This window comes from Homo sapiens, chromosome 12 (assembly GCF_000001405.40).
Source record: "Homo sapiens chromosome 12, GRCh38.p14 Primary Assembly".
In the NCBI taxonomy this organism is placed as follows: Eukaryota; Metazoa; Chordata; class Mammalia; order Primates; family Hominidae; genus Homo; species Homo sapiens.
Genome location: NC_000012.12, coordinates 80,792,226 through 80,818,097, shown reverse-complemented (window position 1 = coordinate 80,818,097; position 25,872 = coordinate 80,792,226). Strand labels below are relative to the sequence as shown.

The 25,872-nt window shown below is 36.8% G+C and overlaps 1 protein-coding gene across 5 annotated transcripts in view; it reads left to right on the top strand.

The window, feature by feature from the left end:
- The window catches only part of LIN7A (lin-7 cell polarity scaffold A), a 145,415-nt gene extending 119,837 nt beyond the window's left edge, over window positions 1-25,578 (top strand). For 4 of the 5 annotated variants that reach the window (NR_136888.3, NR_136887.2, NM_004664.4 and 1 more), the window contains 2 exons: window positions 6,415-6,633; window positions 20,372-25,578. Coding sequence is in view for 3 of the 5 variants with exons in the window: in NM_004664.4 (NP_004655.1) it covers window positions 6,415-6,633 (219 nt within the window). In the remaining 2 variants the exon portion in view is untranslated. The remainder of the gene's footprint in view (window positions 1-6,414; window positions 6,634-20,371) is intronic. The other variant, XM_011538928.4, reaches the window with a different exon arrangement.

Here is a 25,872-nt window from a genome sequence, read left to right as displayed (position 1 = left end):
TGTTATCTTTTTGGGAAAGGAATAGGTCTTTGCTTGGTTATACTGGGCCTTTTCAAAGTTGAGAATCATAACCCCCTAATCCTAGTAGTAGTGAGTCCTTCAGGTAGCCCCATGCTATTCCTTCACTCCAGCTCACACTTTTGAGCTAGGAGTTGCCAGATCTTTTTCTTGCCATTAGTTCCTATCCTTTTGCATCACACAAAAATGACACTCCATGTATTTCATTTCGGGATTAGTTAAGCTAGAAAATTAGCATACGGTTGTTGAAAGAGCAGTCATCAAGAAAAATGAGTTCTAATCCAGACCTACAACTAACGGACTTATAAAATGGAGTAAGTCATAGCCAGTCTTGGTGTCTGTTTCCTTAAGTATTAAGATATAAGGACATAAATGAGATTATTTCTAAAGGTCTTTTTAGGTATAATGTTCTGTGTTTCTGAGCTATCTAATTCACTAAGGTATAATTACCTAATACCCTTGATGTCCTTTACTCCAAATGATGATAACATCATTTGGCCTTTAATCTAAAGGAATGACTGATGTTTTTTAGGAGTCTATGCATAAACCTGGCTGTAGATATGCCTTGAATAACTACAAGGTCTAGCCAACTCTTGTTGTCCAACAAAGTGTTTAAGTAACTTACACATCAGAAAACTGGATCAAGATGATATCTATGTAATTCCCACAGAGAAAAACCTGCCTAAAAACTTAGCCAGTTGATGACTGATAGTGCACAGATCACATGATTGCTTCCCAGGGCAGGCATTGCTTCCATCTGAGATCTAGCCAGGGTCAAAATTTAACCCTCTATGGAAGCGGGAGAGAGAGAGCACATGTCATGAGCAAATTCATGTATGTAGTGCAATTCAAATTCTCTCTTATAAGGGATGATCCTTAATCAACCAGGAAGTTGAGCATACCAGAAATACGAGCATACCAGAAATAAGCTGCCATTTTAATATCTCACAGTGTATACAAATAGTAAAACTATTGAATGAACAGAATGCAGCCATGTTTAAAACTTGGTTGAGTCTGGGCACGGTGGCTCATTCCTGTAAACCCAGCACTTTGCGAGGCTGAAGCAGGCGCATCACTTGAGCCCAGGAGTTCGAGATCAGCCTGGCCAATGTGGCAAACCCTGTCTTTACTAAAAATACAAAAAGTAGCTGGGCATGGTGGCAGGCACCTATAGTCCCAGCTACTCGGGAGGCTGAGGCACAAGAGTCGCTTGGACCTGGGAGATGGAGGTTGCAGTAAGCCAAGATCGTGCCATTGCACTCCTGCCTGGGTGACAGAGTAAGACTTCATCTCAAAACAAAACGAAGCAAAGAAAACCTTGGTTCATTTACCAGCCATTGATTTGCTAAACTTCAATCAAATTAACTAACTTGAAAGCTGCCTAGAGCTTACTGCTGTATGAGGTTGCTGATGAAACAAGTATGCCTTTGGTTATCTACTGAGCTATTTTTTTCCCAGCTTCCTAAATGAAAATATATTTCTTTGTACATCAATGTTATAGGAGATCCAGTTTGTATGGTTTTTATATCAGTTTAGTATTTTATTAGCTTGTGTTTATTGTAATACAACTTTTTGAAGGCTCCATATATATATATAACTATTGTATATAATAACTAATGTATATAATAGTGTGTGTGTGTGAGTGTGTATATATACACTTTTTTTTTTTGAGACAGAGTCTTGCTCTGTTGCCTAGGCTAGAGTGCAGTGACACAAACATGGCTCCCCACAGCCCCGACCTCCTGGGTTCAAGCCATTCTCTTGGTTCAGCATCCCAAGTAGTTGGGACCACAGACACATGCCACTCGCCCCAGCTATTTAAAAAATAAAAATTCTTTGTAGAGATGGGGTCTTGCCATGTTGCTCAGATTGGTCTTGAACTCCTAGGCTCAGGCAATCTTCCTTCCTGCCTCAGCCTCCCAAATGGCTGGGATTACAGGCAAGAGCCACTGTGCTTGACCTCATATTAATCTTTATGTTTATTGTTAAAAGATTTATCAGCTAAAGATAGAAGCATTTTCAGGATGGGAATGTACAGTCTTCATAGTGCATTTTAATTCATTTCAAGTATGCTCATGGCCAGCCTAGGCATAATTTTGGGGTAGGTAACATTTCTTTTTAGGGGTTTTTCTGTTTTAGGCTATACTTCTCTTTGGTCAAAATATTTCCTGGGTACCTACTATATACCCTCAGGCTGTTCTCATCACTCCTCACCTTCTTAATAAAATCCAATTTTACCAGACGTCCATTGCAAGGCCTTGTTAAATTAATTTATGCTAATGCAATAGGTACAACAAAACTCTTAAAGCAAGGGGATAAAACTTAAAAATATAGAATTTCAGCTTTTAAATGGAGGAGGGGGTTTCACTGTAAAATAAGAAGTCTTTTTAGAGCTCTTAAAGTCATATAAGAACCACCTTCTCAGCCTATGTAGGAAGCTGGTGCTACAAGTTTTCAGTGATTGCTCAAACTTACACTGGTTCTTATAAAAGACAACTCTGAATCAGGAGTGCTTGTATATACAGCTTTGATAAAAATAGCTTAACTGTTTATAAATAACCTATCACATTTCAAAATATGTCTTAAATATTTAGCTAGAAATGATGCATACTTTCATTAAGAGTGAGACACAGACTAAGTCAAAAGCAAGAATAGATGCTGAACTTTCAGGGCTCAAGGAATACCTGTGAAGGGCTTGCACATCAACATTTATACCCTAACTGAGTAGATCTTTTGGCTTCTTTTTATTCATGCAACAAGACTTCTGTGGCAAGATGGTTTGATTTCTTGTTCTTACCTTAAAAGGGAAAGAAAGAAGAAGAGAAAACTGCCTTATTCTTATTACAAAGTTATACTGATGGACTAAAAGCACTCCAGAGATAAATAATAGGTTAAGGAGACAAGCATATGTACTCAAAAGTATTTACAAAGTAGGCAAAGCTAGTGGGGAAAAAAAGGCCACAAAAATAATCCTTAAGACAAGATATGCTTCTGAAAACAATTAAAAAGCAAAGTTGAGGAGTGTTTGAAATAAAAATTTTTCAAGTATGCTTATATTTCTTAATATCTTTCTAAAATTCACTTCTTAGCTGCTTAATTATATAATTTGTAGGATGTTAGTAAAGCATTTCAGTAGTACAAATGAGGAACTGTGACACTGCCCAGATCTCTCATAGTGGCTCTGTGTCCTGGTGGGAAAGACAGTAGAGCCAAACCAACAGACCTGTTGACTCTGTTGAGCCTTAAAGAGAATCTGAGTCCTTGTCTAAACTGAAGATAAAGCATGAAGGCAAAATTTCTGGAATTGAAAACTGTGGAGTCTGCTTTTGATACATTGTTAACTGTGTGGGAGAGGGCAGAGCAGGGACTGGAAGAGGATAACCTTGATGGTTTTGCAGGGCCTGGTGTGTGGTGCACCAGCCAGCCGTTTTTCTCTCAACTCTTCACCACCACCGTGAGAGCCTAATGGCCCACACACATTAGTACCACAGCCCTCCTGTGGCAACTGAATCGCAGACACAGTGCCAAAACAGAGATAATGGGCCTCTAAAGGTCTGGCCTAGAATCTCCAACCCTATTAAATAAAAGCAAATAGAACAAAAGCCACGAAGAAGTCTACAGACTGATGATCTGGCCTAGAAACTGGGTGAACCATTATTAAAACATAAACATGTAAGTTTTAATATTAAAAAAGAAATTAGAGAAGGGTATGTAGACAACCAAATCACCAAGTTTTCCTTTCAAAGGAAAATTATATGCATTAACAAATCATCATGGGACCAGTTATAAAGAAATTACAAACATACTGAAAATAGGGTTTATATTGCACGATGCTGTCAAAGTTTACCTTCCTTTCATGTTTTCTCAAGAAACGTAGTAGACTATAATTCATAAAATAAATGCTTAATAAACATATTAGTTGAGTGGCTAAGCCAATGATCAAATGATCCCTTAAGTCTCCAAATCTGCAGTAGAAATTATGAATCTGAAGGTATAATTCAAGGGTGCTTAAGATTTCACTTCCTTTATTTTTCTGTAACTCAATTTAGTATCTTTTTGAGTTTCCCTTCTGCTTGGATTGTGAAAATGTAATGTCAAACAATTGAGGGTGGCCTTCTCTGCCTCTTCAGTGTGACTCCTAGGTCGTCTGACACTCTTTAACCTTATCTCAGTCTCCATCTATCACACTGCACAGTGATTTTTTTTCTCTGTACTTTACCCAAGAAGCAAGGCAAAAAGGCCTTGGCAGTTCAATCCTGTAAATTAAGGGTTCTGTCATCTGCCCTGGTGATCCGCTCAGAGGGGCAGGAGCCAGGGTTTCCTTATGTAGGGTCCTATAAAGTCTAATTACAACTTTCTTCTTTTTGCTTCTCCATCATCCTAACCTGGAGAATCTTCAGAAGATTGGGAAAAAAGCAGCATTGTGTTTACTTAGAGGAAGCATAGTTTCTCCAAGTATTGTCTACGCCATGATGTTCAAAAGACTGTTTTGAAACTCAAAAGCCAAGAATTGATTTGTTTTTTGTTTTCTGTATCTATCTTATAAGTATGTGTGCCTATTTGATTGTATCCTGAATAGATTTTTCTTAATATAAAATTATTCACTTATAATAAGGGCTTATTCAATGCATAACGATAGTGCCCTCCAGAAAAATTTCACCAGTTTTTGTTAAGTTATTAGCAGTCTGAGTCCAATTTTCCTACATCCTTGTCTGTACACCAAATTTTAAAATATATATTTATCATTTTTAAGTTAAAAATGAAATATTGACCAGGCACGGTGGCTTACGCCTGTAATCCCAGCACTTTGGGAGGCCGAGGTGGGCGGATCACAAGGTCAGGAGATCAAGACCATCCTGGCTAACATGGTGAAACCCTGTCTTTACTAAAAATAGAAAAAAATTAGCTGGGCGTGGTGGCAGGCACCTGTAGTCCCAGCTACTCGGGAGGCTGAGGCAGGAGAATGGCATGAACCCGGGAGGCGGAGCTTGCAGTGAGCCAAGATCGCGCCATTGCACTCTAGCCTGGGCAACAGAGCAAGACTCCGTCTCAAAAAAAAATATATCTGTATATTTATTTTTATGTCGGTCTATACTTCTTTGATTACTAGGGAGTTTGAATATCTTTTCTGAGGTCTATTGTCCATTTATATTTTTTATTTTTTGTCCATGCATGTCAACTGCTCATTCTGCTTAGATCTTTATTGACTTGTTAGAAGAATGAAGGGCAGGCTGGGTGTGGTGGCTCATGCCTGTACTCCCAGCAGCTTGAGAGGCTGAGGGAGGTGGATCGCTTGAGGTCAGGAGTTCAAGACCAGCCTGGCCAACATAGTGAAACGCCATCTCTACTAAAAATATAAAATTAGCCGGGCGTGGTGTTGCACACCTTTAATCCCAGCTACTCGAGAGGCTGAGGCAGGAGAATCTCTTGAACCCAGGAGGCGGAGGTGGTGGTGAGCCCAGATCAGGCCACTGCACACCAGCCTGGCCAACAAGAGTGAAACTCTGTCTCAAAAAAACAAAAAAGGGCAAATAAACCAGAAAAAAAACCCTTTTGCACTAAGTATATGACAGTCACATACTGAAACTGTTTTTCTGGTTTGCCTTTTTTTTTTTTTTTTTTTTTTTTTACAGTGTTTGAGACATAGAAACTTACACTGTGCACATCTGATTTCGTGGTTATTTTTCCTGTGGCATTTTAAATTAAGAATTCCTTTTCTATTGAAAAATGATTAATGTTCACCTTTCTTTTATTTTAGTTACTTTATGTTTTTATGTTACATTTAAATTTTAATTAATCTGTTATATTTAGCATAGTGTATGAGATTGAGTCTCCATTATTTTGTATTATTTAATTTAGTTAATAGTCCTTTTCTCCTTTGGTCTAAAGTCCACATTAATAATAAATAAAGCTTTCCATGTGATGACTCTCCTTCTGGACTCTGTGCTATGTTCTACTATCTCTTTTATACACACAATAAGACACCACTTTAATCATTGTAGATTCTTAATAAATTTTAATATCTGATACAGAAATTTTCTCTTTGTTACTATGTTTTAATTTTTTTCAAAATTTTGTTGACTAGTGCATTTACTCTTCCAGATAAAATTTGGAAATTTCATTCCTAATGTTAGCATTATAATTTAGGTCTTCATTGCTTTTCACCCTTATGACCTGAATCCCCACACAGTCCATTCTGTGACCTAGTGCAGCCTAACCTGCTTATAGTTTAACCACAATGTAATAAATAATAACGATGATGGTAAGATAACTCATTTGCCATGTTTTCTTAAAATTTTAAATTTTGGGTTCTTAATGTGATATTAATTTCAGATTTGTCTCCAGGGAAAAGAACATTGAACCTCCTCCCTTTAAGAAGTGTCATTGTATTTTCAGAGTGTGGAAGGAGAACACCATGAGAAAGCTGTGGAACTACTCAAGGCTGCTAAAGACAGCGTCAAGCTGGTGGTGCGATACACCCCAAAAGTTCTGGAAGAAATGGAGGCTCGCTTTGAAAAGCTACGAACAGCCAGGCGTCGGCAGCAGCAGCAATTGCTAATTCAGCAGCAGCAACAGCAGCAGCAGCAACAAACACAACAAAACCACATGTCATAGGTGAGAAGTGACTTATTCTATACAAGGAGTATATATATATATATACACACACACATATATGTATATATGAATATACTTAAAATATATTTTAGATATGTTCTAAAATATATTTTCTTAGCTGAAACAAAATCATTAGATTTAAATAATCCAAACAAAATCAATCAAACAAAAGACAGTGATCTAAAAGTATATAAGCAAGATAGTTTATGTGCCATTCAGCTATATTCTCCACAAATATAAGATAATTTGGAAAATGATATACTTTGAAAGGGGCAAGTACAGGCTCTAGGATGCTTTTATACAAATTAAGAAAATGCAGCCTCTGTGCAAACCCAGATCCTAAGGAGAAGAGTGTGGGCTGGATTCCAGGCCTCACTCACCCTGTTGGCCAGTTGCCTTTACACAGTGTATTAACTGCACAACCTTATAGTGCTGACCCTGGAAAGATCTCCTTTAGAATACTGAGATACAATTTATTGGAAAAGTGCCCCACTGAAAAGAATGAAGCTGAGACCTGCCACTGTCTATGCTGTAAGAGATTCTGAAGTTCTCTGCGGATGCTCCTTTAAAGTGTGTCTAACATACAAATGGCCAACAGCTATATGAAAAAATGCTCAACATCTCTAATCATCAGAGAAATGCAAATTAAAACCACAATGAGATATCACCTCATACCTTTTAATTTGGCTATTATCAAAAAGAGGAAAGATAACAAGTGCTAGTGAGGATGTGAAGAAAAGGGAACCCTTGTACACCGTTGGTGGGAATATAAATTGCTACAGCCAATTTGACAGACAATATGGAGGTTCCTCAAAAAAGTTCATAGAATTCCATATGATCCAGCAATTCTGCTTCTGGGGAGATATTCAAAGGAATTGAAATCAATATGTCAAAGAGATGTTTACACTCCCATGTTCAATACAGCATTATTACAACAGCTAAGATATGAAAACAACTGAAGTGCTATCAAGGGATGAATACATTTTTTAAATGTGGTAAGTATGTGATAGATATCTATATCTACCTACACACACACACACACACACACACACACACACACACACACACACAGATGTATACCATTTAATATTTAGCCTTTAAAAAGCAGGAAATGTCATTTTTGTCAGCGTGGATGGGCCTAGAGAACATCATGCTAAGTGAAATAAGCCAAGCATGGGCAGACAAATACCACATGATCTCACCTATGTGTGGAATCTGAAAAACTTTAATTCATAGAAGTAGAGAGTAGAATGTGGTTTCCAGAGGCTGGGAGGCTGGGGGAGGAGGGTAGACAGAGAAAAGGGAAAAGGTCTTAGCTAAAGGTTACAAGTTTCAGTTAGGTAGAAGGGGAATAAGTTAAGATGATCTATTATACAACTTGGTAACTATAGTTAATAATACTACATTGCATATTTCAAAATAGCTGAGAGAATGGACTGTAAATATTCTCACCACAAAGAAACAATAAGTATTTGTGGTAACAACTTTGGTAGCCTGATTTGATCATTCCACAATGTATACATGCATTGAAATATCGCATTATAATCCATAAATATATAAAATTATTACTTGTCAATGAAAAATAAAACTTTAAGAGTTTTGAAAAAGTTGTAAAGTAGAAATAAAATGTGTCTAAGATTCTCCTGCCTTTTTCTAAATTCCACTTTGTAACAAAGAACACTAAATCAGGTTTTGCTGTATATTATCAAGAGAATTGAAGAAAAAATGTTAAGAGACCCCATCTTAGAAGTTCCTACTATGCCCTATGCCCTTATCACATTTTATCCCTAATCCTCAGAAAAAAACCTTCAAGGCAAGTATCAATAAATAGTTTTTTAGATGAAAATATGAAGCTAAAATAGCTTCAGTGGATTTCCCATGACTGCATTTACAGAAACATAGAATTCTTTTCCTTTTTACTCCATCAGGTTTTCATCTGCCAACATCAGATATTCTGGAGTTATATAAATTTTCCTTGCTATCCTTTGGAGAAGACAGTTCATATTGTTAGATACCTTTACACTATGATGTCTGTGAATGTGTATTTGAAGTGAACTTCAAATATTCTTGGAAAAATGATTGTGGGTAATAGTGGTTTTAGGTCATTCAACATCAGATTACTATTTGCACAAACAGAAATATTGGATATAACATGAGGCTTTTAATTGTTTGTGACACTTGTGAAAAGAAGAAGCTACAGGCTGGGAGCAGTGTCTCATGCTTGTAATCCCAGCACTTTGGGAAGCCGAGGTGGGTGGATGACGAGGTCAGGAGTTTGAGACCAGCCTGACCAACATCGTCAAATCCCATCTCTATTAAAATTCAAAAATTAGCTCCTGTAGCCCCAGCTACTTGGGAGGCTGAGGCAGGAGAATTGCTTGAACCCAGGAGATGGAGATTGCAGTAAGCCGAGATCGAGCCATTGCACTCAAGCCTGAGCAACAAGAGTGAAACTCTGTCTCAAAAAAACCACAAAAAAAAAAAAATGAAAAGAAGAAGCTACACAGAAAAGGGGGGAAAAGATAGGGATTTGTCCTACAACAATCCTGGGAATTCAACAATCTATCTATCTTTCATAGGCTGCTATTTTTATTATATGTACCATATTTTAGTATCTTTATCTAAAATTGCATTCTATCCTAAAAAATACATTTATTGGGAGCCAAGCGTGGTGGCTCACGCCTGTAATCCCAGCACTTTGGGAGGCCGAGGCAGGTGGATCACGAGATCGGGAGATCAAGACCATCCTGGCTAACATGGTGAAACCTCGTCTCTACTAAAAATACAAAAAATTAGCCGGGCGTGGTGGCGGGCGCCTGTAGTCCCAGCTACTCAGGAGGCTGAGGCAGGAGAATGGCGTGAACCTGGGAGGTGGAGCTGGCAGTAAGCCGAGATCGCGTCACTGCACTCCAGCCTGGGTGACAGAGCGAGACTCTATCTCAAAAAAAAAAAAAAAAGAAAAAAGAAAAAAGAAATACATTTATTGCACATTATTTATTTGACACTGTTACAAGCGAGGCACTGTTTAATGAGCTGCAAAAATGGCATGAATAATGCAAAGTTTTTGCCCTCATGCCTACATTCTGGTTGCAGGAGATAGTTAATAAACAAATAAACAAGTAAATAAAAATATCCTATTGGGACCAGTACTTTGCAGAGTAAAAATAGGGGGTTTAAATAGAGAACTGCTTGGTAGCAACTTGACTGTGTGATCAGGGAAGATCTCTCAAAGGAGGTAACATTGCAGATGAGACTGAATCACAAGAAGCCAGGAAAAGAGACTAAAACGAGAAAGAAATAGCCAATGCAGTAGCTCTATGACAGGCATGTTTGAGGAACAGAAAGAAAGCCAGAGTAGTTAGAGAATAGTGAGTCAGAAGAACAGTGGTGGTGGCTATGGGGTCAATAGGATAGCTGGGGACCAGGTCACAGAGAGCTTTGTGAGCCACTGAGGGAAGTTAGATTTTATTGCACCGGAAGCCACTAAAGGTTTTTAAGCACAGGAGAGACATGGTTGGATTTATTAAAAAGATTGCTCTGGCTGCTGTGAGAATAGATTATTGCAGACTGAGAGTGGAAGCAGAGACCAATTAGGAGGCTAATGTGTAGTAGTCCAGGCAGGAAATATGGTGACTTGGTCTAGGATGATGTAGTTGAGACAGAAGTCTATAGACAGACAAGGACGAGTCATTTTGTCCACATCCTTCTTCTCTGTTATCCATTCCAAATGTAAAGCCACTTTACATTTGTACTTTTAGAACTCTTAAAGATCTCTTTTGTGGTAATGACAACGCATTATTCCTTAGTTAAACATTTACACTCTTTTTGCTAACTCATTTTTCTCTCATCCTTGATAATATAGACTTATACCAATTCTCCTAATTGATTTGCCACATTGGTCCATAGTAAAATTGTGCAAGTATTTTGAAAGAAATATGTTCCTATTCAGATTTCTGAGGTCTTACTAAAGACTTCCAATATTATGCTCATTCAATCATCTTTAAAAGTATACGACTTGGCCAGAATTATTTGCTCAGCCATATTACTCAATTCCATTTCTCAGTTCCATCCATCTTAATTAAATCTCCATCTTCGGGCCAGGTGCGGTGGCTCATGCCTGTAATCCCAGCACTTTGGGAGGCCAAGGCAGGTGGATCACAAGGTCAGGAGATCGAGACCATCCTGGCTAATTCGGTGAAACCCCGTCTCTACTAAAAATAAAAAAATTAGCTGGGCGTGGTGGCGGGCGCCTGTAGTCCCAGCTACTCAGGAGGCTGAGGCAGGAGAATGGTGTGAACCCAAGAGGCGGAGCTTGCAGTGAGCCAAGATCGCGCCACTGCACTCCAGCCTGGGTGACAGAGCGAGACTCCGTCAAAAAAAAAAAAAAAAAAAAAAAAAAAACTCCATCTTCATTAAATTTCCTATGGTTTCACCACCACAGACTAGTATTTTTAGTAAAAAGCATTTATTATACAAACTATGTTATTTCTGGCATGAGATATAGTAGAGTTCGATTTAAGTGAACATGAAATTTGTATTTGTGCCTGCCAAGATGGCACTTGCAATACACACACATTGAGATAAAACTGTAGTGACCATTTCAGGTACAAATAAAATACATCCAAGTCATGTCATTCATGGATTTTATGGTGACTTCAGTCAAAGAGACTTACATTAGCTCTTAATTACATTTTAATTAATTTGATTTTTAAGGACTAAATGGGATTGTCACACTTGCTAATTCTTACTACAGTTGCTTCTGAGAAAAGTTTGAAGCTAATTTGAACTATTAGACTTTAAGCATCTCAGGTTTTTATAAAATTTAACCAGTCAAGCAAAAACCAAGTAAAATCAAAATACTTGTCTGATATTATCTTATTGTTTATCAAATGAAATGCAATTTCTACTCTGAAATTAGAAATAATATGTTTTTTTATCTGAGATGGTAAAAGTTATAAAGCACCTGGCAATGGTAAATAGTGAATACAAGTGGAAAAAAGATTTAATGCAAGTACTGTGCAGGAAATTTTCTCTTATGCTTACTTTTAATTGTAAACTCTCTTAAAGTAAAAATCAATAGTCTTTTCCCCTAACTTCTATATTTGATAATATTGAAGGATACACATTACATTTTCTAAAATGTAAAAAAATTATTGCTGCACAATAATATGCTAGAAATGTTAACAGAGAATATGAATTCGGGTTTTATTCGTGCTATACCCACTTTTTTTGAGAAAGAGTTGTATTAGTTCATTTTCACGCTGCCGATAAAAATGTACCCAAAACCGGGAACAAAAAGAGACTTAATTGGACTTACAGTTCCACATGGCCACAGAATCATGGCTGGAGGGGAAAGCCACTATTTTTTGTTTGTTTTTTGTTTTTTTAATACAGAGTCTCTCTCTGTCACCCAGGCTACAGTGCCGTGGTGCGATCTCAGCTCACTGCAACCTCTGCCTCCTGGGTTCAAGCGATTCTCCTACCTCAGCCTCCCAAGTAGCTGGGATTACAGATGTGAGCCACCATGCCCAGACTGAAAGGCACGTCTTACATGGTCTCAGCAAGAGAAAAATGAGGAATAAACACAAGCAGAAACCCCTGATAAACCCATCAGATCTCGTGAGACTTATTCACTATCACAAGAACAGCACAGGAAAGACCAGCCACCATGATTCAATTACCTCCCCCTGGGTCCCTTCCACAACACGGGAATTCTGGGAGATACAACTCAAGTTGAGATTTGGGTGGGGACACAGTCAAACCATATCAGAGTGTTATATTTATTCAGCTTGAAGCACCTCAGTTTTTTATTGTGACTCCATGTATATAATATTTCACCCAGATTCTCAAAAAATAAAAATAAGAAGAAAGAGGAATATCTCTGGAGATATCAACATTCTGAGGAAGTCAAGACCAAAATCGTGTCCCTGACCTCCATGGCTAGATCTAGGGTGGAGAATTCATTCCAGTCAAAACCAGCCTGTATCTTATTAAATTTACAAAGTTGCTGGCATTTGACAGTAGCCTCACCAAATCTCTTTTTCCTCCCACTCTAAAGACCCCCCATTTTCTTTATTTTGCCTACCTTTAAAACCCTTCTCTACCTTCTTCTAGCATTACCACATGCATGATCCTGATGATCTAATCCAGGGAATTATTACGAAAACTATCCGCCTAGTCACTAAGAAAACCAAGTTCCAGGGGATGACTCCAATAAAATCGAATGCAAGGAACCCAGAGTTTCCAAGCAGAACACCGGACAGAAATAATCATAAAGCTGACTAACACTTATTAAACAATTAGTGTGTGCCAAGAACTCTTTTAAGTGCCTCATATATATTAAATTACTTAATCTTTACAATAGCCTTATGCAGATTAGGTACTATGTTTAATCTTGTTTTAAAGAGTAAACTAATTAGTACAACCACTATGGAGAACAGTTTGGAGGTTCCCACTGCAGATATCTGCACTCCCATGTTTGCTGCAGCTCTGTTCACATTAGCCAAGATTTAGAAGCAACCTAAGTGTCCATCAACAGATGAATGGATAAAGAAAATGTGGTACTTGTACACAATGGAGTACTATTCAGCAATAAAAGAGAATGAGATTCATGCCAGGCACGGTGGCTCACACCTGTAATCCCAATATTTTGGGAGGCCAAAGCGGCTGGATCACTTGAGACCAGGAGTTTGAGACCAGCCTGGCCAACATGGCAAAACCCCATCTCTAGTAAAAATACAAAAAAAAGAAAAAAAAAAATTAGCCAGAGCTGGTGACACACGCCTATAATCCCAGCTACTTTGGAGTCTGAGGCACAAGAATCATTTGAACACAGGAGCTGGAGGTTGCAGTGAGCCAGGTTCATGCCACTGCACTCCAGCCTTGATGGCAGATCAAGACTCTGTCTCAGAAAAAAAAAAAAAATTCAGTAATTTGCAATAACATGGAGATCATTATTTTCAGTGAAATAAGCCAAGCACAGAAAGACAAACATCACATATTCTCACTTATTTGTGGGAACTAAAAATCAAAGCAATTGAGCCCATGGAGATAGAGGGTAGAAGGATGGTTACCAGAGGCTGGGAAGGATAGTGGAGGAGTGGGGAGGGAGGTGGGGATGGTTAACGGGTACAAAAACACAATGAATGCATAAGGCCTAGTATTTGACAGCACAACAGGGTGACTATAGTCAATAATAATTTAGCTATACCCTTAAAAATAACTAAATGAGTACAACTGGATTGTTTGTAACACAAAGGATAAATACTTAAGAGGATGCATACCCCACTTTCCATGATGTGATTATGACACATTGCATGTCTGTATCAAAACATCTCATGGACCCCATAAATATATATATCATGTACCCACAAAAATTAAAAATTAAAAAAATTTAAAAATAAAGTGGAAACTGAAGCATATAGGAGTTTTTTAAATGTACCTAACATTTCACAGCTATTATAACAAGTAATAGGGCCACGATTCAAACACAGGAACATGGGCTTTAAAGCCTCTTGCTCTTATTCATATTGCCACCCTTACTTTTCCTGACCCCACTTCACAGACATATTTGTGAACTGTCTGGGGATTCAGTCTTATGCAGTTATCCAAATCACCCTTATCGATTACCTTTAAAATAGTACCCCATACTTCAAATTACTTCATCCTCAAAGATGCATTAGCTTTCCATGGCTACCATAAAAATTACCACAAATATAGTAGCTTAAAATAACACAAATTTATTGTTTCCTATAATGCTGTAGAATTCAATGCTCTTACTATCAAAATTCCAATGTCATTTTTCACAGAAGTAGGAAAAAAAAATCCCAAAATTTGCATGGAACCACAAAAGACATCAAATAGCCAAATCAACTTTGAGCATAAAGAACCAGACTGAAGGCCTCACACTACCTGACCTCAGGGTCTATTACAAAGCTATGGTAATCAAAACAACATGCTGTTGACATAAAGACAGACACATAGACCAATGGAACAAGCTAGAGAACCCAGAAATAAATCCACATATTTACAGTTAATTGATTTTTGACAAAGGTATCAAAAACATGCAATGGATAAAGGACAATCTCTTCAATCAATGGTGTTGGGAAAACTGGATATCCAAAGCAGAAGAATGAAATTGGACCCTTATCTCACCCCATAACAAAACCAACTTAAAATGATTGGAAACTTAACTGTAAGACTTGAAACTGTGAAACTACTAGACGAAAATGAAAGAAACGCTCCACAACATTGGTTTGGGCAAAGATTTATTGGATACCTTCCCAAAATCACAGGCAACAAAAGTAAAAATAGACATACAGGATTCTACCCAACTAAACAGCTTCTTCACAGCAAAGGAAACAACAGATTGAAGAAATAACCCATGGATTAGAAGAAAATATTTGCAAACCATACATCTGATAAAGGACTAATATCCAAAATATGTATGGAACTTAAACAACTCAATAGCAAGAAAACAAATAACCCAATCAAAAATGGGGAAATGACTTAATAGACATTTCTCAAAAGAAGCCTAAGGTATAGCTAACAGATGCATGAAAAATGCTCATTGTCACTAATAATCAGGGTAATGCAAATTAAAACCACAGTGAGGTTTCACCTCACACCTGTTAGAATGGCTGTTATCAAAAAAAGACAAAGCCAGATGTGGTAGCAAGCACCTGTAGTCCCGGCTACACAGGAGGAGGAGGGTGAGGCAGGAGGATTGCCTGAGTCCAGGAATTTGAGTCCACCCTAGGCAACATAGTGAGACCCCCATCTCTAAAAAAAAAAAAAAAGTAAAATTTTAAATTTTAAAAAAGAAAAAAGATAACAAGTGTTTGCAAACGTATGGAGTAAGAGGAATCCTTGTGCACCAGTGGTGGGAATGTAAATTAATACAGCCATTTTGGAAAATAATATGGAGGAGGGTCCTCAAAAACTAAAATTAGAACCACCATATGATCCAGCAATCTCACTTCTGGGGATATATCCAAATGAATTGAAATTAGCATGTTAAAAGGATACCTGCAGTACATGTAGATTGCAGCATTGTTCACAATAGCTAAGATAAGGGAGCAACGTAGGTGTCCAGCTTCAGCTAAATAGACATACATAACAGAATACTATTCAGCCTTAAAAGGGAGGGAAATCTTTCATTTGCAACAACATGGATGAACCTGGAAGACATTGTGCTAAATGAAATAAGCCAGGCACAGAAGAACAAATACCACATGTCTCACTTATAAGCGGAATCTTAAAAAGTTAGACTCGGCCAGGTGCGGTGGCTCACACCTGTAATTCCAGCACTTTGGGAGGCCGAAGTGGGTGGATCACGAGGTCAGGAGTTTGAGACCAGCCTGGCCAATATGGTGAAACCCTGTCTCTACTAAAAATACAAAAATTAGCCAGGTGTGGTGGTGCACCTCTAATCCCAGCTACTCAGGAGGCTGAGGCAAAAGAATAGATTGAACCCAGGAGGTGGAGGTTGCAGTGAGCCGAGATCGCACCACTGCACTCCAGCTTGGGCAACGGAGGAAGACACTGTCTCAAAAAAAAAAAAAAAAAGTTAGACTCATAGAAGTAGAGAGTAGAATAGTGATTATCAGAGGTAGAGGAGAAGGGTGATCGGGGAAAGAAAGGGGAGAAGTTGACCAAAGGGTATAAAGTTTCAGTTAGACAGGAGGAATAAGCTTTAGTGATCTATTGCACAGAATGATGAGTTAAATAATAATATCTATTTCAAAATTGTTAAAAGGATAGCTTTTAAATATTTCCACCACAAAAAATAAGTATGTGTGGTGATAAAATGTGTTAATTATTTTATCTGGTTTAATCATTTCACATTTTAAACATATCAAAACATCAATTCAATATATTTATACATCACAAATTTATTTGTACATCACAAATTTGTACATCACAAATGTATACAATTATTATTTGCCAATTGAATATACAATTTTAAAAATATATCTTGTAATTCTGTAGGATAGAAGTCCAACACAGTTTTACTGGGCTTTAGGAGGCTCTAGGGGAAAATTCATTGCTTCCTGGGCCCTTCCTCCATCTTCAAAACGAGTAGCGGTAGTGGAATCCTTCTCACATTGCATTTCTCTGACCTCTGCCTTCATCACAACGCTGTTTTCTGTCCCCCTCTTTCACTTTTGTTGTTGTCTTGGTGCTTGCAAAACTGTTAATTTATTTCTATTGATTTACATTTGATGTTTGTGTATGAAAGTGACACTTTTTCATTGCAAAATTTTTAGACAGTAGAGAAGTATAAAGAATAAATTAACTTTTCAGCTATAATCTCACTTCATTTTAGTACACAGTTTTTTCTCCAGAAATGTTATTTCTATATATGTATGTTTATATGTATGTTTATATATATATATATATGCTTATTTTCACTCATATTTTACATGCTAAATTATAACCTGATTTTTAAAAATTAAACAATATGGTTAACATTAGTAGACTTAGGTCTACATTTTAAATATCTGTGTAAAGTTTTAATTTCTAGGTATACAATAATCAATCTCTTCTGAATGGACATTAAGGTCATTAACATTTTTAAATCTTGTTGGATTTGATTTGCTAACTTTTGTTGAGGGTTTTTAAATTTATGTTCTTGAGAGATATTGGTCTGTAGTTGGTTTTTTTTTCTTCTAGTGTCTTCGTCTGGCTTTGGTATTAATGTAATGCTGGCCATATAGAATGAGTTAGGAAATATTCGCTCTGCTTCTATCTGATATGCTGAAAGCAATTATAGACAATTGGTATAACTTATTTCTTAAATTTTGGTAGAATTCTCCAGTGAACCTATCAGGGTCGGGTGCTTCCTGCTTTGGAAGGCTACTAAGTATTGATTCGATTTCTTTTATAAATATAGACCTATTCAAATTGTCTATTTCTTCTCATGTGAGTTTTAGCAGATTGTGTCTTTTTTTTTTTTTTTTTTTTTTTTTTTTTTGAGACGGAGTTTCACTCTTGCTGCCCAGGCTGGAGTGCAATGGCACGATCGCAGCTCACTGCAACCTCCACCTCCCGGGTTCAAGCAATTCTCCTGCCTCAGCCTTCCGAGTAGTTGGGATTAGAGGCATGCGCCACCACACCCAGCTAATTTTGTATTTTTAGTAGAGACCAGTTTTCTCCATGTTGGTCAGACTGGTCTCAAACTCCCGACCTCAGATGATCCGCCAGCCTCGGCCTCCCAAAATGCTGGGATTACAGGTGTGAGCCACCGTACCCGGCCCAGACTGTGTCTTTCAAGGAATTGTCCATTTCATCTAGGTTATCAAAATGGTGGATATAAAGTTGTTCATAGTATTTTTTTACTATGCTTTTAATGTCCATGGTATTTGTAGTGATGTGACCACTTTCATTTCTAATAGAAGTAATAATTTGTGTCTTCTCTTCCTTTTTGTTAGCTTGGCTAGAAGTTTATTGATTTTATCCGTCTTTTTATTTTATTTTTTTCGAGATGAAGGGTCTTGCTATGTTGCCTAGGCTGGACTTAAATTCCTGGGCTCACATAGTTCTTCCATCTCAGTCTCCTAAGTAGCTGGGACTACAGGCATGCACCACAGTGCTTGGTTTTTATTGATCATTTTAAATAATCAGCTTTTGATTTCATTGATTTTCTCTATTAATTTCCTATTTTCAATTTCATTGATTTCTTCCACATTAATTTTTATTAATGAAAAATTAATCTTCATTAATGTTTATTATTTGTTTTCTTCTGCTTACTTTGGATATAATTTGCCCTTTTTCTAGTTTCCTAAGGAAGAAGCATAGATGATTGATTTTTTGGTTCCCACAACTTATCAAAACATTTTTATTTTTTATTTTTACTTGGTTCAAAATATTCTTAAATTTCTCTTGTGATTTTTTTTCTTTGACTCATCCCTCTTCCACTTTTAATTACATTGGATTGAACTAAATAATCCAGGGTTATTTCCCTATTTTAACATAGGCTTCTTAGCAACCTTAATTTCATTTACAACCTTAACTGCCCTTTATCATGTAATCAAACATATTTATAGTTTATGGAGATTAGGATGTGGACTTAACATTTAGTGGACGAGGAGGCACTATTCTGCCTACCACAATGGCTCTTTTAAGAGTTAGTAGGCAATTTGATCAACAAGACACACTAATATGGAAAAGAAGCTTTTCTTAAAAATAAATTGTTAATCAGTTAAATTATAAATCATGACTGAGGGCAATACTAACATTTGTTGCAGCTGGTTCTTCCCAACAGGTATGTCAGTGGCCCACATGTTGAATGCCCAGTGCTCTCTCTCAGGCTGACTCCTGCCCTGGATAGATGAAGAGATCCAAGACTTACTAAAATTCACCTGTTCTGAGTCCCATTCCTTCAGGACATGTAGTTATATTATCATTTAATTCATTAAGAACTCAGCCTCTAGGCCAGGCACGGTGGCTCACACCTGTAATCCCAGCACTTTGGAGGCCAAGGCAGGCAGATTACCTGCGGTCAGGAGTTTGAGACCAGACTGGCTCACATGAGGAAACCCCATCTCTACTAAAAATACAAAAATTAGCTGGAGGTGGTGGCACATGCCTGTAGTCCCAGCTACTCAGGAGGCTGAGGCAGAAGAATCGCTTGAGTCTGGGAAGTGAAGATTTACTTCAACTCAAAAAAAAAAAAAAGAACTCAGTCTAGATCTCTGGTCACTTTGTAGCTAAATGACCTTTAGGAAGTTATTCAATCTAAGATTCAGTAAAATGGTCTGTTGTGGAGATTAAATATGAAAAAAAAATGTGAAACTCTTAGCAAAATATGTGACACTTAGTGAGCACTCAATAAATTTTCATTAGTGATAGAAGTAGTAGTCAGAATGATGATATTATAATAGTTAAAATGTTAATGCTTATGTGTTGTTATATAATATCTCGTTGGTGACTCCTGAGGAAACACAATGGGTTTATGCACGGTTTTCAATCCACTCAGTAGGCCCCAGGGGAGGTTGGGCACATCTCTTTAAAGCATGACAGCTGGAGAGTGTTGACGCAAAGTAAACAGAACAATTTTGTTAAAATCTGTTTTCAATATGGTGCTTGGCATTCATTGAAATAAAAATATCTGCAGCTTTGAGAACGAAGATGTAAAAATCACTGTTCTCTCTGAAAGAAATGACCCTCTAATAGTGGAAGAGTGGCAGGTATGGGGGTAGTATCTGGCAAGACTGCTCCCCAAACTCTGACCATAGAGGTAATTGCCTACTCTGTTTCATGTGGTGTCAGGCTGACCTTATGAAGAGAGACAGATTTAATGTCCACGTCAGAGAAGGAATATTGGTGCTCCCAGCCTAGCAGAGAGAGGTTTTGCTGGCTTCTACCTCAACAAAAGCACTACTAAAAGCCCTAAGAGTCGTAACATAAATGTTGGTTATTCTTTGCCTTCATGAGGAAAAATAGAATCATCTGGAAATGGAAGAAGGAAATGTTTTACATTTGAAATGTTTCCAAACTGGTGTTCTTTATTTCATTTTAGGGAACAACTGTGGCTTTTCCATCCTCATTTGATAATTACTTCCTTTGCAAACATCAAACGAATTTTTTCATATGTAGAAGATGGTGCATGAATGATAGCACCCAAAATAATCCTTGCTGTTCTCACATAGCATATGCTCTTTTGATATTTTTAGCATATTGTAGTTGACAAATGAATACTAATCACTGATTTCTCTTCACTCTTTTTCTCTTTCAGGCCCTTGAGGGAAAGCTACTTGATCAAACATCCGATAGTCACAAATTTGAAACCGTGCTTCAGAATCCCAGCACATAGTAAAAGACAACACTGATAATTATACCTGTCAAGAAGCTGTGAACACATGGTGTATAAATTCTTTACCAAGGCAACTCAACACCTTCTTTCTCTGGGCTTGAACCGCCACTGCTCACGTGGGCTTTACATACATTGACCTTCCATTCACTGCAGTGGGAATTCTCAGTGTGCAGAGGGAGAGGTTTTCTAGTCTGCAAACTGAAACAGTGTAAGAAGAATAAAGTCTATGACTTTTAAATAAATCACCAGGGCCAAGATTGAGTGAATCTTGGGTCCATAGCTTTTCCAGATATTAGCAAACCCCTCATTAGGCTATAATTCAAACTGCATCAGTTCAAAGTGAAACCTACACATTGCTCCTTACCCTCACCTGCTCCACAATCCATAGTGCTGAGTTGTCTGAATTGGAATTCCAGTTAATTGCAAGTTCAACCTGTTTTCCTCTTGAAAATCGCAAGGTATCATACTATATTTATATTTTCTTCAGGTTCTAGAAGCAATCGGCTTTTTCTTTTGTTTCCATGAATTTTATTATGCATTAATAGAATGGACCAATTTTAGCTCAACTTTTAGTTTGTTAGAAGCAAGTGTAGGAACTCTAGCACTGTAGTTTTTAATTATTGCTTGTATCTATTATTATTAATTCCAACAGAGTATAATGTATATTTATTCTATAAAATATATATTATCAGAGTGCATTTGTTACAACTTAGGTTCTTTTCTTACCAAGTATTAAGAATCTAGTAAGAGAATACTAGCAAAGGACCTAGCCCTGTGAACAGATTCTCGTATGTTATATACATAAACCCACTCTCAATATTTTTTGAGTTTTATACTTTTTGATTGATAAACACTGAAGAAATCTAAACTCTACTCACACTGATGTGCTGTCATAGAAGCCTATTTCATATTTTAAAGCTTAGCAAAACTAAATTATATGTGCATATATATTCAAATATTTGTGTCACACAAAGTTTAGGTCAATTTCCCCAAATATAAACCAGATATTTTTGGCACTCTCAGATAAACAAGTATTATTTCTCTTATAATTGGGCAGGTGGAAACCAGTGATATCAATATTGTGAATGGCAGATGCTGCTTCCTCTAGAAAAATAAAATAAAATCACCAACTTTAATATATTCCCATAGGTAAATAGACAATGAGATATCATTTTTCAGAAAATATCATTCACTGGAAAATAATCTGTTATAACTACATTTACAGGTCATAATTTTTGGTTTATGGTAAATCTAGGCACCTAAGTCTGATTTTACTTTATGAAATAAATAGGAAGCAATAATTGTTTGGGCATTTGAATACCTTAAGCACATAAATGAACCTAAGAAAAGAATAATTGCTTAGTTGAAGTATTCAAAATAGATCAGTAAACCACAGGCAAATATTTGAATGTTCCCTTTTCTCAAATACAGAAATTGATTCCCCAAGATACAATACAATTTGACACTTCAGATAATCCCCCAAAATAGAAATGTATGAAGCTCAGTTTAGACTGTCTTCTTGAAAATAAAACAAAACCAATCAAAACTACCCAGCACATTTTATTATGCCCTGTTGGGTGATAGTATTGTCAATACCAGGTTTTCCCTGCTCTTCACAATGCATCCCTCACCAGAGGAAAAACAGCAAGAAAACTAGGACATTTGCTAATTTCAACAATACACCCCTGTGATAACAGATTCCCATCCTTGAATACATATCATTTTTTACTAGAGAGAACGGGGGTGGTGAGGTGGGGGCAGTTAGGACCCTGTATGTTATGTAAAATAGATTTACAAAAAGGACAAGCATGATAAAAGGGAATGAATGGAGACGATGTATTATTCAGTTTGAAAGAGATAGTTCACATTTTTATAAGAAAAATTTAATAAAACATATATTTTAGTTATCATTTAACAAAGATATATTAAAGCTATTCAGGCAATGCCACAGGATTCTCATGAAGGGAAATCACTGAACCCTTGTCATGAGAAAATGGTCATTTCAACACATTTCAATACATTGTATAAATTTGGAGCTTAAGGTGAGTGAGTATGTTTTCACTTAGTCATAAATGTTTGGTCAAAATTAAAGTTATCATATGGTTTCACATCAATACAAATATTGTCACAGTGTTACAGAAACAACTATCAAATGGTAAGATAGTTTACATTTGTGTTTTCTAGAAACCTTTGTATTTATGCTTCATTTGGTTAATGTTAAGTGCTGATAAAGGCATACCAGATTGTTTGTCAAAGTAAAGAAGCAATCCATCACACCTAGGACATCTAAGGATGGATTATACGTCAGAGTGGTCTCATATACAAATGACCATTTTCCTTCAGTAAAATCTTGTTGGTTGAAATGTAAGTCTTTTCCTAAAGTTTTAATCAGAGGTAGCCATCACTAAGACTTAAGCCACCTGTGGTTCTCTTAAGTTTCACTGAAGCCAGAAGAAGGAAATTACCACAACTTGTATTATACTAATTATCTTCATTATTAACGATCATATTAGAGCCACTGACATGTCCCAAATTATATTAAAATAAAAACCTGCATTGCTCTGACATGAAGCTCAATTCAATGTAATAAACAAATTAGGTATTAAACGTTATAATTTAAAAAACTTCTACGATATCACCAGAAATCCTGGTGAAATTTAATTTTTTCCCTTTTTTAGGTCAGTGGCCGGTGGGATAGATTTTTCTAAACTTTTTCCTGCTATGATTTTGAAGGCAAATACATAGAGCACAGTTCAGTAAAAGAGTTTCCAAGCCTTTTCACTGGAGCATTTACATTTTGATTCTGTTGTCATTTGAAATAGAACATCTGCAGGGAGATAATGAGCTTAAGTTACAATTGACTTTGGAAAGAATAACAGACTTTTGTGTTTCCTCAATCATGTAGTCAATAGGGAATTCTCCAGTTATGTGAACAATCACAGTCTTTTAAGACAATACTTAGATCTAAATGCAAAATCTAGCATGCAGAGGCTTTTTAAGGATTTTAGACTGTCTCCAAAGAACTTGGCTCGAGATGGATTACACAGATTTACAAATGCAGTTTTCAACTGTGACATCAAACTGATCTTATCTCATTTCATGTTACTCAACTGTGCCCGTAGGACCCCAAGAGGTGGAATATTTTGTCTACATTATTTTAAACATCTATAGATATGTGTGGATGTGTGAATAATGCCTAAATTTCTCATCTTTTAACTAGTTTGTTTTTATCATACAGACACAGCCTGTTCATAAGACCAGCTTTAGACAACTTAGAACTCAATGCTCTGAAGATTCAGGGAGGCCAACATAGAAAAAGATCTTCCAAAATATGGGGTGGTCCAACCCATCTCATCCCTCTCTAGCTGGAAAACTATAGAGAAAGGGCTGTGACTGCCTTGACCACTGCCTGGCACAATGTAGGCACTCGGTATTTGTTGGATGAATAAGTGGCTGAATCAGTGAATAGACAAAAAACATGGATTTTGCCTTCTGAAAATCTCACAAATTTTACCAGCTTATATTATACTGATTGTCACTATGATTTCTAAGTTTCATGGTTAGAACCATATTTTGAGTCTATATAAAAACTTTTTAGATGTATGAATTTGAAATTTCATTAATTACTTTAAAGGCTTCAAAGATTTGAGGACATTTGAACAGTGGATAAGGAACAATGTTTGGGGATACAGAGTTTTTATGCTGAGTTGAACTCAACCTTTCTAGTTCTTTATACAAGCTTCCTGAATTATCTGGCAGGAATGATTCAAACATAAAACCCCATTTTTAAATTTTATAAAAGATATTTTCATTTTTATATAAAAAGATCATCAGGCATATTATCCCCTTTGATATTTATTAACAACCATTCTCTAAGAAATTCATAATAATTGGAGACACCATCCCTAAATCTCTTCCTATTTTCAAAAGATCATTTATCCTTTCATATTTGATTCCTGGAATACACTAAGCTGAAGTTTAATCACATACTTACTCAGATGTTTCCATGTGTTTATTCATTTAACAAATACTTATTGTGTACCTAGTGCATGCTAGGTTCTGGAAATGCAACAGCAAACAAGACAGACACAATCCCTCTTGGAGGTTACTGTGAGAAACTCTCCAACATTTACTCTAGCAATAACTAGAGAGTTTACTGTCCATTGGGTCCTCTTCACACCTGATAGAAAAAATAAAATTCCTCACCCCATGGAAGTCATGAAATACTCCCTGCACAGATTTGTGTGAGCTTGCTTTTCTAAAACCACTGCTCAAAAATGCTGCTTAGTTTATCTATAAACCACGGTTATACCCCAGTGAGGTAGGTAAGTAATTTATTCATAACTAACATTTATGCAGCTCTATTTTCTAGCCACTGTGCTGAGTGCTTTTATGGACTATCTCACCAAATCCCTTCAACAACTCTATTCAGTAGGTTCCATTTTATAGATACAAAAACTGAAGCACAGATATATTATGTGACTTGTCCAAGGTCACACAGCTAGCAGGTGGAACTGGGATTTGAACCCATGCAATCTGACACAAGAGTTCATGTGTCTAATCATTATCTGTGGTTTGGGGGACACCATTACATTAAAATGAATGAGTCACTAAGTGAGTCACTGTATATAAAATACTTGGAAATTGTAAAGTAATATACAAAAGATATTAACAAAGTATTATTCATGGTAAACAAATCACATCAGTAGCAAACACAGGGTGGGAACTCAATCTTATGTTATAGCTTACTCTTAAGAAGAATATGTGAAGCCAGGAACATGGTTAAAGGTACAGACCAGAAAATTTCTGACATGTGATAAATATTTCAGTGACTTTTCAGATTTATTTCTTGTTAGCCGCTGTGTCTATTTGGTGCTACAAAAACTGAAAGAAACAAAATCCCTGATGTAAGGGCTTATAATAAATACACAGTTTGGAGATGAACTAAGGATATTTTACATTTACGGGAAAGGATTGGACAATAGTATCATTTTCTCACCATTTGCATGTACATCATGTCTTTCCAATTGTTTTCATTATTTTTCTGAAAGAGCTGCAAAATTGTGCAGTGGTTCAACCTGACCAAAGTGGTATTATGCTGCTGGGAAGTAAAAGTATTAGACACCAAACTGGAAGTATTGTTTTCATTATCAAATGACTTTAAGTTCTTTTAAAGCATGGATGTAAAAGAATTTTTAGATACTGAAGACACCTCAATATTGGGATGCTAAGTTTCTTGGGTTTCTCCATTCTTGACCACACAGTGGTGTCATTCTATTGAGGGCTTAGATTCTGTAAAGGAAAAGACAAATTTTTTTTTTTTTTGCTTTCTAGTCTCAAACTCAACATAGAACACTTCTGTGACCAAATGTAAAGGTTTCCCCACCCCCCCACCCCATCAATTTTCCAAGCAGGTACCAAAT